Genomic DNA, 15,865 nt, shown 5'->3' on the forward strand with positions numbered 1-15,865 from the left:
AACAGAATGGCACTGGCAAAATAATAGAGACATAGACCAATGGAACAGGTGAGAGAACTCAATAATGAAGCTGCACACATACAACCATCTCATCTTCAACAAAGCCAACAATAACAAGCAATTGTGAAAGGACTCCTTTTCAATAAATGGTGCTGGGATAGCTGGCTAGCCATATGTAGAAGAATGAAACTTGACCTTTTCCTTTCACTATATGCAAAATTCCACTTAAGATAGATTAAAGATTTAAATGTAAGACCCAAAACTGTAAAAACCGTAGAAAAAAACCTAAGAAATACCAATCTGGACATAGGCCTTGGCAAAGTTTTCATGTGAAGTCTCCAAAAGCAAATGCAACAAAAACATAAATAAAAAAAGTGGGACCGAATTAAACTAAAGAGCTTCTTCACAGCAAAAGAAACTGTCAACAGAGTAAACAAACAACCTACAGAATGAGAGAAAACATTCACAAACTATGCATCTGACAAAGGCCTAATACCAGAATCTATAAGAACTTAAATCAAAAATCAAAAAAGCAAACAATCCCATTTAAAAAAAATGGGCAAAGGACGTGAACAGACACTTCTCAAAAGAAGACATACATGTGGCCAAAAGTATGTGAAAAAAATGCTCATCATCACTAATCATTAGAGAAATGCTAGTAAAAACCACAAGGTATACATTTTTTGGATAGGCATGATCAAGAAGGATATACCCTGAAATAAAATCACAGTAAAACAAAACAAAACAAAAAACCAAGAAGAAGAGAAAAAACAAAAGCCAATTTTACTTAAGAATATCTTTGATAAAGCACTAAAGAAAATTAAATTTTATTTAAAATTCATATGTGATTTTCCCAAGAAAAAGCAATTTTGCAATTGAATTTTGAGCTGAACTAGCTATTTTTTCATGGAACACCATTTTTACTTGAAAGAGCTTGAAATAATGATTGAGAAATTATGGTTATTCATACTTGTATATTTGGCAGATTTTATTTTTTCTCAAATGAATGAAGTGAGCTTCTAAAACAGAAACAACTTACAGTGTTTGTTCCCAGTGATAAAATTCAAGCTTTCATGGGAAACTTGGAATTTGGGAAAACTTGTATCAACTACATGAGCTTCACAGGTTTCTAATTCTTAATGATTCATGTTATTAACAAATGTGATCTTTTTGAATAGTAGAATGAAATATGTCAACGTTGAGAAGATCTTCACGACTCCGTGAAACAATATTTTCAAAATGACCAAAGCATAATGCATGGATAAAAGCTCCATTCAAAGTATATGATGAGACTGGTGGATTTTCATGTAACAAAGTACAAAAAGGCCATTGAGATGGCACTTTAAGTAACTACTTCTTGTCAAGTCTGGGTGCAGTAAGAAAGAAGAATGTCCACTATTATCTGTAAAGGCTATTAAAATGCTCATCCCTTTTCTACAATGTATCTGACTGAGGCTGGTTTTCTTCATATACTTCAGCAAAAACAATACATTGCAATAGGTCGAATGCAGAAGCTGCCAAGAGATTCCAGCTGCCTATTAAGGAAGATATTAAAGAGGTTTGTAAGAATGCCACACTCTTTTCACTACATATTTTTTGAAAATACAACTTTTTAATTTAAAATGTTATGTTTACATGCAATGCATGTATTATTTTAAAATAAGTTAATGAATAAATTTAAAATTTTCTGTTTAAACTTCTAATTTGGAAATATTAATGGATATAGAACCCACATAGACAAAAGTTGTTTAGATTCTCAACAATTATTGAAAGCATAACAAGGTCCTTAGACCCAAATTGAAAATGACAGGCACAGAGAGCATATAGCTTAACCAGAGAATCTTTTTTTATGAGTAAGTTGTGGAACAATATATTTTTCTGATTCTGAAGAAATGAAAGTTAATTTTAGAAACTTAATAAATATAAAATACAGAAGGTATAAGGAAGAAAATACAAATCACTTATACAGATCTGACTACTGTAAAACTTTCATAAAGTTCCTTGCAATTTCTTTACATCTTTTTTGTTTGTTTAACATAGTTAGGAGTCTGTGCCCAGTAAAGAAAATATGGGGATATCATACAAGGTAATGTGTCCACAGATATTGAAAGGTTGAAAGAGGAAAAGGAAGACACTGAAGTAATAGATATATTTGTAAACACAGGAAGAAGTCACGTCTAGAGCTGGGGGATCAAAAGTGGAGATAGCAGAGCTTAGGAGTTAGAAAAAGCCTTCTCTAGAGCTTAGGATTAAAAGTGAGGTTAGACCTTAGGGAGAGACCCCTGCATGGCTACTAGGTTTAGATACCAAATGGAAGATGAGAATCAAATCACCTACTTCACGGGATTACATGAGATAAAAATTTATGAAAATTCTACTTACAAGCAGACAGCACTACATACACTGAATGTAGATAGAACTTTAAGAAGGAAAAACAAAAAACTGCAAATCACAGCAACATAAGGCAGAACGAGGTCAAGATCCCCTTCTTCTTCAGAAAGACAAGGAGCTGCCTTGTAGTTAGTCCAGTCCTGATCAACAGGATGAAGAGAGAAACAGGGATACCAGGCTGTAGCTCAGTTCAAATACAGAAAATGTATCCAGTGGAGCCTCCTTTCCCAAGCATCTCTCAGAGCTCCAAGCCCAGCAAATGTTGTAGTAGTGGGACTATGCTACTTCCTCTCACCTTTATTTTGACTTTTTTCTCTTTGCCTCTCTTTATTTCTCCTCTTTTAAACTTCACTCTTGCTTTTACTTTGGTTTTGTAGAGCCTCCTAGTAAGACAAGTATTTCTTTCACTCATTGGCTGGTCTAGGGTTGGGGGAATGGGTGGAATAAGGAATTTGCCAATGCCTGATCTGCTCACCTATCTCCTCCACTCTAAGATAGAAAGAAGCTTCATTTACAAAGCTTCTTTCCCTCAGTGACTACAAGTCTCCAGCTTTAAAAAATTAAAAAATGGCATCCACTTCTGGGAAATATTTAGGAACCTACTTAATTCCTATGCTAAAAAACAAACAAACAAACAAACAAACTAAGCCCTCTCCCCTTTTAAAGGAGAAGAGGAGAGGATGACATTTCCCCGGATTCTTTTTTTTTTTCTTTTTTTTTTTTTTTATTGTGACAGAATTTCACTCCTGTCACCCAGGCTGGAGTGCAATGGCGCAATCTCGGCTCACTGCAACCTCCACCACCATCTAGGTTCAAGCAATTCTCCTGCCTCAGCCTCCCGAGTAGCTGGGATTACAGGCATCTGCCACCATGCCCAGATAATTTTTGTATTTTTAGTAGAGACAGGGTTTCACCATGTTGGCCAGGCTGGTCTCGAAATCCTAACCTCAGGTGATCCACCCACCTCTGCCTCCCAAAGTGCTGGTTTCCCCTGATTCTTTAACTCACTTTTTGAAGTGAGTTACAATATTTTTCACCCACCTCATTGGGTTGTTGTGTGGATTAAATAAATTCCTTTATCTGAAGTGCTCAGAATGTGTTCCATAGTGAGTATTTAGTTAACATGAGTTTTTATTATTATTGCTATTATTACTTAAGATTAGGCAATCCTTGTCTCTAATGTATTAATTGAACAATTTGGCTTTGTGTAATTTTATATTTTAGAGAAGCTCACAAAAATTTGTCTTTGGGGAAAGAAACAGAATCATTAATATGTTATGTATGATGACTTTTTTTTCAGAAATTTTCATTCCAAAATAAAAAAAAAACTACATACTTCTGCTTTTGCTTCTTTTAAGCCAACAGCACACCAGACAGCTCAGAGCCAGCCATGAGGCCACAGAGGACAGGGAAGCAGCCAGGATGATGGTCGACTTCTCCTTCCTAGTCACAGGCAAGACAGCAAATGGCTTGGATCGAGCTGTAAAATTGACTCCTGTGGCGGGGAAAAGAAGATGTTTCAATGATATGTTAATAAGATGCTAATATAATTAAAATATGGTAAAAATAAATACATTCATAATAGTATCTGGGATATAGTAGGTGTTCAATATATATTCATTAAATTTAATAAATACATAAATTATAAATCCAAGATTTATATTTCTAGAGAATCACAAGATTCCAACAATAACACATAATAGTTATTTCCAATTCTGTCAATTATTGATTGAGAATTCTTCCAATTCTCTCTTTTAATTTTCAGACCAACCTTCCATACCAATGCAAAATTTCAGCTTCTTTCACTCATGTTTCACTAATGAGAATAAAAATATTCTCAGCTCCAGAATGTGTGAAATTACTTGCTCTGATGTATGTATCTACTCAATACGTGCCATATAACACATCAAAACAGGGGCATAGGGACTCCTGCTGCAGCACCATATTGTCTTAGAGAGTTATGTTATCTGGAAAACTAGGACTAGAACAATGGCAGATAGAACTGCCGGCCATGAATGATGGGGCAAGATAGCATCCTGTTGAGAGAGTTCAACTCTGTAAGAATTCATCTGAAACTCCTCCCATTTATGGAGACAGAAAAATTTCTCACCCCATTATTATTTATGAAATGAGTCATAAAATAATCTAAAAAAGAAAGTTACCTATCTGCATAAAAACACATACATAAATGTTTTTAGCAGCTCTGTACATTGCAAAACCCAGGAACAACCCAAATGTCCTTGAGCAGGGGAATGGATAAACAAACTACAGTTTATCTAGACAATGAAAAACTACTCAGCCAAAAAAGAAAGAAAGGAAAGAAAAAGGAAAAGAAACAAACACACAATTGATAACCTGTAACAACTAGAATGAGCATAAAAGGCATTATGCTGAGTAAGGGAAGCCCATCTCTGAATGGTACACATTTGTAGGATTCCATTTATATAACACTGTAGAAAAGACAAAACTATAGAGTTAAAGAACAGATCAGTGGTTGCCAACGATGAATGGTGGAGAAAGGCTACATGTATGTGAGAACAGATTTTTGGGGTGATGAAATGGTCCTTATCCTGACTGTGGGGATGGTTACATGGATCTATACATGTATTTGAAGTAATAAAACCACATACAAAAATGTCAATTTTAAAGTACATTCATTTTAAAAATAAATTGTTTGAAAACTTGCCTTTAATTTTGGGGGTGATGAATATATTCATTATTCTAATAATGAGGATGCTTTCATGGGAGTAGGCATTCATCAAAATGTATCAAATGGTATGCTTTAAATATGCTTATCATGTGTCAATCATATCTCAATACAAACAGGTTTATTTAAAAAAAAAAAACTTGTTTATGAACAGTTACAGCCAGCATTTTTAAAGCAGCTCATTCAAAACAAACAAGCAAACTTCAAACTTCTGCTTTCATCCACATAACTCAGGCAAAAAGAGTTTTTATTTTATGTACTCAAGGAAACACCATGTTTTTCTTTGCTGTGCTTTCACTGGGCTGAACCTGACAATTTTACTGGAAGTCACAGTCAGATCTTCAATCTCTTGACTTCTGGCTGACTTGGTCCCAAAGCTACTACAACAAAATCTCCTCTGTATACATCATGTATCTGAGCCATATTTGGCTTGTTTGTTATCAAGTAATTGCTTTTTATGGGCATCTGAATAAGCTCAATCAGGCACAGAGATGGGGGAATAGACTTTACTTGGGATTTACAGAAGTAAAAACTAAATTCTTCATACTTTTATCCATTTGTCAATGATTGCTCAGTAATTGTTTACTGGGTCAAGTTGATAAGTTACCAGTTCCCATTCTTAAGATATTTACAAGCTAGTAAATAAGATACACATAACAAACATTTGTTAAACAAATTAGGATGTGACACATGCCACTAGAATAATGCAAATCAATTGCTTTGGATGTTTATTTTCCATTGATATGATTCGGGAAAGCATCCTGGAGGAGGAAGTATCTGAGGGGACTCTGAAGGCTGTGCAAATACATAAACAAAGACAGAGAGGAGAAAATAGCTATTGATACTTAGGAGACTTACGCAGGAAAGTACTGGAACTTAATGCTAGAAGAATTTGAGACAAATCTGGATGGGCATTAAATATCAGGCAAAAGGCCCTTGAGAACATTCTGAAGGCATGAAGTATCACAGAAGAAAAGATTCTTTTTTATTTTTATTTTGTTAATAGAGACAGGGTCTAGCTCTATCACCCAAACTTCAGTACAATGAGTGGCACAATTATAGCTCACTGTAGCCCTGAACACCAGGGCTCATATGATCCTCCTGCTTCAGCCTGCCAGGTGGTTGGGACTACAACCATGTGCCACCATACCTGGCTAATTTTTTGTTAATGTATTGTAGAGATGGGGTATTGCTATGTTTTCCAGGCTAGTCTTGAACTCCTGGTCTCAAGTGATCCTTCAGTCTCAGCCTCCCAGAGTGCCAGAATTACAGGCATGAGCCACCCCGCACAGCCTAGGGGGAGATTCTAAACTGAGAAGTGACATGAGCCACATAAAATATAGTCAGTCCATTTTTGTATAGAACACAAAAATGACAGAGAAGCTAAAGTCAGGGTGACCAGGCGAAATTATCTAAATCCAAGGGTGGAGACCACTGGCTCTCAATTATCTTAGCATCAGAACATTTTTTAAAACTGCAATCTTAAAAATAATCTCAATATATTCACTTATTCATAAACAAATATTTATTTGTAGCTATGATGCACCAGGCTTTTCTACACCCTTGGGATATAATGTCAAACTAAGCAGAATCTCTGTCCCTTTGGAACTTTGGTCTCAATGGAGGACCCAGCACACGGACAGTAGACAAACAAATAAATACATAGATACTATAAAGCCAGGGAGTGATAAGTGCATAAAGAAAACTAAAGTGAGTTTATAAGACACAGTGGCTGGAGGTGTGGGGAGGATTGGGGATGGTATAGACTGAGTGATCCAAAAGAGTCCTCTTTGAGGAGATATTTGAGAAGAAATCTGAATGAGCTGAGTTAGCCACGTGACTTTCTGGGGGGAGAATATTCCAACCAAGGAATTGGCAACCACAGGTAGAGTTTCTCTGGCTAACTGTATTTGTGGTGAAGGTGGGGGGGGGCGGGGGGCCGGGGGCGGATTTGTGGGTGATACCTGGTTACATTAATCTCTTCTCAGCAGCAGCCCCTGAGGGCCTCCTGAGAACCCCACGGCACCAAGAAATGGTCATAAAAGCCACAGCCTACACCATGGTAATGATAGTGAACGTGGAAAGGCTAGCTACGAAGTCAGTACTACAAACTTACAGAAACCCTTATCTCTTGACAGTGTCTCAGGAAGTTGAGAAGTGATAAATGAGCTGGATTTGATAATATGTCAGACCTAAGAGGATTCCATAAATACTTGGGCAGATCTATTTTCTGTATTTCTAAAATAGGAATAATAATTTGTTTTTCTCTCTAAAATATTGGAGAGATGAGGGAAAATAGTGGAAATGATTGCAAATTCTCTGCTTGATTCATGAATGAATGAAACAACAGACCAGGCACGGGGACTAATGCCTATAATGCCAGCATGAGCCCAGGGGTTTAAGACCAGCCTGGGCAGCATAGTAAGATCCCATCTCTACCAAAAAATAAAATAAAATAAACCAACTGGGTGTGGTGGCACACACGTCTGTAGTCCCAGCTACTTTGGAGGCTGAGGTAGGAGGATTGCTTGAGCCTGGGAGGTTGAGACTGCAATGAGCCATGATTGAGCCACTGCACTCCAGCCTGGGTGTTGGGTGACAGATTGAGACCCTCTCTAAAAATAACAACAACAACAACAAACACACACACACACACAAAACAACAAAAGAAACAACAATAACATAAAACAATGCTTATCAGACCTATTATTTTGAAGCCTATTAGAAATAAGAAATTTCATTGTTTGGCGAAAATGTGTGAATATACGCTGCTTTCCCCAACATTCTAGCACTTCAAATTGATGTACTTGGAAACAAGGAGTTACTCTCTGGACGTGTACCGTTACTCAGTGTGATGTCAACAAGGGGTCACAGAAGTGCAGATATTTAATATTTTTCCTTTCTTTTTATCCTCCATCTATTCTCTCCAAATTTAAACTTTTATAAATCTCATTCTGAAAGAGTCTCACCTAACAGACTTGATCTTGAAAATTAAGAGGAATAATTTAGTGAAAAACACTAAGGGAAAACTTTCCAAATGATTCTTCAGTTAGTTCTTTTTACAGGCTGTAAGTAGAAACTACAATAAAGCAGTAGTCTACTAAGTGTGAACACCAAGACCAGTTCAAAATCACAGGAGTTACCAAGAAGTTTCTGTCTACAATACATTTCGCATTTGGTTTTACAACCTATTCCTTAAAATAAACTTGATAACGTATTTGGTTAGTCTTAATTAATTACTGAGGTAATTAAAGGACAAAGGCCTTTTAAATGTCAGACAAATCTGGAACAAAATATGCATTCCTGCCTGTCTTACCCTTTAAGACATATCCATTCAAAAACTCAAGCTTACAGCACAATCCCTGGGAATTGGGAATCCCACGGTCAAGGACACTACACGTTTGTTATGAACCTGTACTTATGTTAGGACACTTTGACACATAAAGTATGTGTAAATTGCTCTTTTAACAAGTATTTAAGCAATCATCCTCTGAAGTATAAATGTGACTCTCATGAAAACATATAATGAGCACTTGTCGACAGGTTATTTATCTCATTAATGAAGAAACCAGGAAGAACATGAAACTGGTTTAAATAGCATTTAAGAGATAATGATCATATAGCCAGGGAGCAATAATATTATCTGATCTCAGAAGATAGTCTTTTTGTTAAAAAAAAAAAAAATCCAGGCTGGGCGTGGTGACTGATGCCTGTAATCCCAGCACTTAGGGAGGCTGAGGCAGGCGAATCACGAGGTCAGAAATTCGAGACCAGCCTGGCCAACATGGTGAAACCTCATTTCTACTAAAAATACAAAAATTAGCCAGGCTTGGTGGCGCATGCCTGTAATCCCAGTGACTCAGGAGGCTGAGGCAGAAGAATTGCTTGAACCTGGGAGGTGGAGGTTGCAGTGAGCCGAGATTGTGCCACTGCACTCCAGCCTGGGTGACAGAGTGAGATTCCATCTCAAAAAAACAAAAAAAAATCCAAAACTTGGAATTAAAGGAAAAATGATTATGATTACAGATCTTACCAGTGTCATACTGGAACATTTTCAAAAGGCCCGTTGAAAGTTTATTAAGTTCTCTCAAACATATATTTGTTTCACTTACTATTTATTATTTATTTATTAGGACCCAGATATGTTTATTTGTAGAAGATTGACATGCTGAAACAATTTTTATATAGTTAAGGATGCAAATGATATCTGTAAACACTGGACTATCAAAATTTTGCTTTTATTGCCCTGTATCCATTGCAAACTTATTTCAACATTTCTTCCCTGGCTATACGATCACTATCTCCCAAATGCTCTTTTAATTAGTTTTCTTATCTTCTGATTTCCTCATTAGTGAGTTAAATAACATGTTGACAAATGATCACTATATTTTCATGAGAGTCACATTTAATACGCCAGAGGGTGTTTTTTTTACATGTTTTGTCAAAAAGAACTGGATCAGATATGCAATTTACATACCCCTTATTCTGAAGTGCCAGGATGTTGATGGGTATTGTCCCCATTTGGCAGGGGGTTGAGGAGGACAGGACCCAAAGTTAAAATTTCAACATCCTATGACTCTCTTTCTTATAAATTAACATTCTCCTATTAATATCTAACCAAATGTCAGGTAAGTAAATTAAAGAAAAAAACAAGTAGAACACTGAACGTAAACGTCAATGTTGAGAAGGAAATGTACATTTGGTTTCTTGCTCACCAGGAGTAACCTGAGGTTTCCATTTCTACATGTGCTCTTTCTTCTCAAGCTTAATGATACAGTCAAGTGAATTTATTTTCTAAACTATGATGACCTCTTATTCATGATAGTAGCTATTCCCACTATAAGGGAGAAAGGATTATCTTCTCAAAAAAAAAAAAAAAAAACACAGAATAAAAGCACACTGTATAAAATTACCTGGAGGAGAAGTGACAGTAAAAATAAAGTGCCAGTTTGACCCAGAGATCAAGACTGCCAAGTTGTAGAAGCTAACATAACCATCTTGAGTTTCTGCCTGGGTGCACCCTACAAAAAAGTACAAAACAAAAATTAGCTGTTTATTATCTAATCTCGAACAATGTCTTCATGTCTTCTGCGAAGGCAGACATTTGGACAATAAAGGACAATTTTTTAAACTCAAAGAGGTTACCTAATCCATCAGGTTCTTCTTAGTCAAGACTTAGAACCAAATGACCCAAGACAGAATAACAGTTAACATATATTGAAAGTTCCACTATGCCAGACACTGTTCTATATATACACGATTGCCTACAAACTACACAACAACCCTATAAAATACGCTATTATCTATATTCTAGCAATTAGGAAATAGGCTCATGAAAGATTAAATTATGTGGTACTGGGGTTACAGCCCAAATCTACCTGATTTCAGTCTGCATTCTTAACCACTACAATATATTGGCTATATTATTATTAAATGTATAATATATAAAGAAAGAAATTCTATTATCTTTCTAGGTGGTCAGTTTCTACAGTCTGTCTTTCTTCTATCCAAGTTATCTATAGTTTATGTGGTACCAGAATTAGGCCAAGAGATCAGGACCATGGCAATCTACCAAATAATGACTGATAGAGCTACTCTGATTTAGCAACTTGAATTGCCTGAGCCTTGGCTTCCCTAACTAAAATGAAAAAAACAAAAACAAAAACAAAAAAAAACCCTTGCGTCTTCTAACAGTAGGTCATCCATTTATAACGTGAAAAAAGGCAGCTTAACTCAGTATCACATTCACAATACCATTAATCGTCTTTTGACTCCACCATCCCTAAATTATTTTCCTAATTAACAGCTGCTAGACTTTACTCTGGAAATGTCAATATGATTGGCATGGTGGACAAAGGGTTATGAAAGTGGTCTGAAAGTTTATAGATTGGTTTGAGATCTCTAAGGCTGAAATGTGTCATAAAGATACAATATGCTTAGTGTTACATTTTTCAATTCAATTGCTTAATCTTTTTGTGAAAACACTGTCTTTCTTCATCAATTTTGCAGAGCTAACTAAAACTTCTTTTTTGAGAAAGATCTTTTGCTTCATCTCTTCTGAGTTCTAAAATAAATAAAATGCCCAGTAAAATGAAAATAAATAAGCCAAGACTCAAATAAATGATAGGTGCCCAAGATAAATGCAGTTTATACTCTTTAAAACCTATATGCATCAAAATTATGGTCAATAAACTCTTGCAAACAATGAACTGAAGAGTACAGATGTTCAACATGAAATCATTTGCTGCAGTTTTTCCTTTGACAAACGTCTTTATTGTTCCCATCTTTGGAAGAATACAAAGCAGCATTTAATCGAAATGTGTCCGTAGAGCACAGTGAGTTGGCCTCGTAGAACAGCCGCCAAATTGCCTAATGGAAAGTGCTTTAGTTCTAAATGGGTTTGCTTTTGCGTTAAATACCAGCTTGCCTTAGAGATCTCTACAAAGATTCCCATATATATCTATGATATTCTCAGATTTGAAGCATATGTGCTCAAAAGCTGAGGCAGTTGCTGCTAAGTATAGTACATTACTCCAGGGTTCATCATATCTTCAGAATAGCTATGATGACATATACAAATGCAATTGACAGGCTCCCTGATCATGCTGGTATAAACAGTATACTGGCTGGGGGACTTGGGATGGGGTGGGGTGCTGGGCTCGAGCAACTTTGGAATTGATTACACAACTACCAGGGAATGATACCTGAATGGGTTTCTGCAGGATAGATAGTTTCTAAAATACCTTTGCAGCCCAAATTATCCCCACAGCTATCCCACTCACTCCTAGGTATGCATACTAGCAAACTGTTACATTGTTAATGTTGAGATGTTATCTTTAAAAGTATTAAGGACTTTTTTGTGCAACTATGATCCATAAATGTCAAAGGATATTGAAGACCTGTAAATAATTGTCCTTGAGTATATAAATTCACTTTTTATGATAATAGGTTGTAACTGCCTTTTCACTGAGGAGGGTCTACTAAAGAAAAAAGAATATGAAGTTAAATTGCAGAACAAAAGATTTAGAGGAGATATATAGATATGGTTTTGTTGTTGTTATTTTGTTTTTCTCCAGGAGATACTTATAGTAAGTTAGATAATCCATCCCAAATGCTTTTGGTGCATTCTTTCTGAAGTGAAAAAGTAGTATTTCATGATGGCTTCAAGAGAAACTTTCAATCACATAAAATAGGGTAGTTTGGTGACATGGGTATGCTAAAAACAGAAAACTGCATGTGATTTCTTCCCTACTTCATGACTCACTCACATAAAAAAGGTGTGTATATAAGACACCCTCAAACTAGTCCTCACACATTCCCATTGGATCTCTTAAAAAAGGTAATAGTGACAATACTGATCCAAGTGAGCTAGTTGGCTTGAGTGTGGCTTGGTGTCCGTAGAATAAAAGAGTAAATGGTATCTCATCTCACACCAGTTAGAATGGCAATCATTAAAAAGTCAGGAAACAACATATGTGGAGAAATAGTAATCCTTTTACACTGTTGGTGGGAGTGTAAATTAGTTCAACCATTGTGGAAGACAGTGTGGTGATTCCTCAAGGATCTAGAACCAGAAATACCATTTGACCCAGCAATCCCATTACTGGGTATATATCCAAAGCATTATAAATCATGCTACTATAAAGACACATGCACATGTATGTTTATTGCAGCACACTCACAATAGCAAAGACTTGGAATCAACACAAATGCCCATCAATGATAGACTGGATAAAGAAAATGTGGCACATATACACTACGGAATACTATGCAGCCATAAAAAAGAATTAGTTAATGTCCTTTGCAGGGACATGGATGAAGCTGGAAACCATCATTCTCAGCAAACTAACACAGGAACAGAAAACCAAACATAGCATGTTCTCACATAGGAGAAGTGGGAGTTGAACAATGAGAACATATGGGCACAGGGAGGGGAACATCACACACTAGGGCCTGTCAGGGAGTGGGGAGCAAGGGGAGGGATAGCATTAGGAGAAATAACTAATGTAGATGACGGGTTGATGGGTGCAGCAAACCACCATGGCACATGTATACCTATGTAACAAACCTGCATGTTCTGCACATGTATCCCAGAACTTAAAGTATAATAATAAATAAATAAATAGATAAATAAATAAAGAGTAAATGGTTTCATGCCTCATTCACTTTTCATGGCCACAACATGATTCTAAGCTGGCCGGGCATGACATCCTTAAGGTTACTGAAAGAAAAATAATGAAAGATGAGGTGCAATAAGTGTCAGGACAAAGTAAAATATAAAGTCTCAGTAAGGTATCATATAGGAGAAGGTATGGGGAATAGGTAAGGCATGGAGCATAAGTAAGGTACTGGGTATAAATAATGTGCAAAGTGTGGCAAGGTACAGAATATAAGTAAGTAAGATATGGACTATGGGTTAGAAATGAAGTGTGAGTAAGGGTCTGGAGAATGTGTAAAGTATGGAATATGAGTAAGGTACAGACTATGGGTAAAGTATGGAGTGTGAATAAGGCATGGAGTATGTGTAAGTTGTGGAATATGGCTAAGGCATAGAATATGAGTAAGGTATTGGACATGGTAATGTATGAAGTATGGCAAGGTAAGGGATATAAGTAAGGGATGGGCTGGGCACGGTGGCTCACACCTGTAATCCCGACACTTTGGGAGGCCAATACGGGAGGATCACCTGAGGTCAGGATTTCGAGACCAGCTTGGCCAACACGGCAAAACCCCGTCTTTACTAAAAATAGAAAAATTAGCCAGGTGTGGTGGTGGGCACCTGTAATCCCAGCTACTCAGGAGGCTAAGACAGGAGAATCACTTGAACCCGGGAGGCAGAGGTTGCAGTGAGACAAGATCGTGCCACTGCATTCCAGCCTGGGTAACAGAGCCAGGCTCTGCCTCAAAAAAAAGTAAGGTATGGACTATACATAGGGTATGGAGTATAAGTAGGGTCTTAGGTATGGATAAGGTCTGGAGGAGCAATGTAAGGCATGAGTATGGGTATGGTTTGGAGTATGGGTAAGGAATAGAATATGGGTAACACATGGAGTAGACAATGGGGAGGTGAGTTCCAGTAGTCATGTGAGAGTATCTGTGGTAAATATTACCAGAACATGAAAAAAGCTAAAAATTAATATTTCTATGCTGCTGTATTAAGATCAGAAGGTGAGTGACTGTTACATATCCTAAGCACTTTCTATACCAAAACACCAACAGTAGCAAAATGGCACTGAAAAATGAACAGAATGACAGCATCAAAACAGGCAGTTCGAAATGCAATTCTGAATCTTTCATCTTCACAGTGGGCAACCTTGGATAAATTCACTTCATTTTCTTACTTTCTTAATGACATGCCTTGTGTCTACAAATCTGTACAAGGACCATTCTGGTTTGTCCTCATTCCTTGGGATTTTAAACCCAAGAAGCTTCTAACTGAACTGCCCACATTAAAAAAATAAAAAAAAAAATGACCAGGAGCAACAATATGAGTTACCCACACAGGTGTTACTTTCAACAAATTGAACAAAAGATAGATTGTGTAAGTAGAAGGGAAAGTCTGGAGAGTCTATGGGCAGATTCTGACAAAATATGCCACATTACCTGGGCCTTTAAATTTGGATTGTATAAAGAGAACGTGGAGAGGGTACTGAGGAGAGCAAGACCTCAAAGTTTGGTAGAAAATTATTTTTGTGGACATGCTGAAAACATTTAGAGTCTCGTTTTGTTTTGTTTTTTGTTTGTTTTAATTATTTTATTTTATTTTAAATTCCGGGATACATGTACAGAACATGCAGGTTTGTTACGTAGGCAAACATGCGCCGTGGTGGTTGGCTGCACCTATCAACTCATCACCTAGGTATTAAGCCCCACATGCATTAGCTATTCATCCTGATGCTCTCCTTCCCCCTTAGTCCTCCCCCCAATCTCTGACAGGCCCCAGTGTGTGTTGTTCCCTGTGTCCATGTGTTCTCACTGGAAAACATTTGGTGTCTTAATAAGTAATTAGATGGGTTAAAAAAAATAACAGGTCAAAATAGTAGAAAGTCAAATTGAAAAGAGAGTGGGAAAATTTATTGTTCTAATAAAACAATAAGACGAAGCAAGCTTTAAAAAGTAAGGGTTTTGAAGCTATGAACTGTTTAATCACGAGATGTCAATCGCCTCCTTAAGAGAATTTTTAGAAGGGGATAATTTCATTTTCTGGAATCGATGAGGTGCAGCTTTGCCAGAAACAAAATGTATAAGCTAAATTAAATGGTGACATTAAAAAAAAACTGAGATCTGAGATTAATTCATTGAAAACAACATCAAATGATTATTCATTAACTTGGAGACTTTATTACAACAATTTTATATGTTTCTTAAGAGACAAATAACAAAAAATTAAGGAACAATGTCATCAGAAATGGTAGGCAATGTGCACCATATGATAGGAACAGTTTTAGGCCAATAATAAACGCAATTAGAAGACGAGGCACGTCTATGATTGACTTATGGCTATCCATTTGAACATTCCATATATTTTATGGGAACCATCTGAATGAGCTTAGACTCATAGCCAGAGTAGAGCAAGAAATAACTGTAAAATCATGGCCTATTCTTGGAAGTCAGTGATTTTGCAGGTAGGCTGATGTTTGAGCTGGCACATGAGTCATTTCTAAGCCTGAAAAAAACATTTTGGACAACACAAAACCCACAGAAATGCCCTACCTGATTCATGAGGTGCACAGGAAATTGGATAAGCTGATTTTGTTTTGTTTTGAG

The 15,865-nt window shown here is 36.7% G+C and overlaps 1 protein-coding gene across 14 annotated transcripts in view; it reads right to left on the bottom strand.

The window, feature by feature from the left end:
• Nucleotides 1-15,865, bottom strand: part of PKHD1 (PKHD1 ciliary IPT domain containing fibrocystin/polyductin) — a 472,317-nt gene that overhangs the window by 13,539 nt on the left and 442,913 nt on the right. For 13 of the 14 annotated variants that reach the window (XM_017010944.3, XM_017010945.3, XM_017010947.3 and 10 more), the window contains 2 exons: nt 10,012-10,119; nt 3,728-3,886 (listed from right to left, as the gene is read on the bottom strand). In XM_017010944.3, the coding sequence (XP_016866433.1) occupies nt 3,728-3,886; nt 10,012-10,119 (267 nt within the window). Of the gene's footprint in view, nt 1-3,727; nt 3,887-10,011; nt 10,120-15,865 lie in introns of those variants that run through there. The other variant, XR_001743469.2, reaches the window with a different exon arrangement.

Source organism: Homo sapiens, chromosome 6, assembly GCF_000001405.40.
Source record: "Homo sapiens chromosome 6, GRCh38.p14 Primary Assembly".
Classification (NCBI taxonomy): Eukaryota; Metazoa; Chordata; class Mammalia; order Primates; family Hominidae; genus Homo; species Homo sapiens.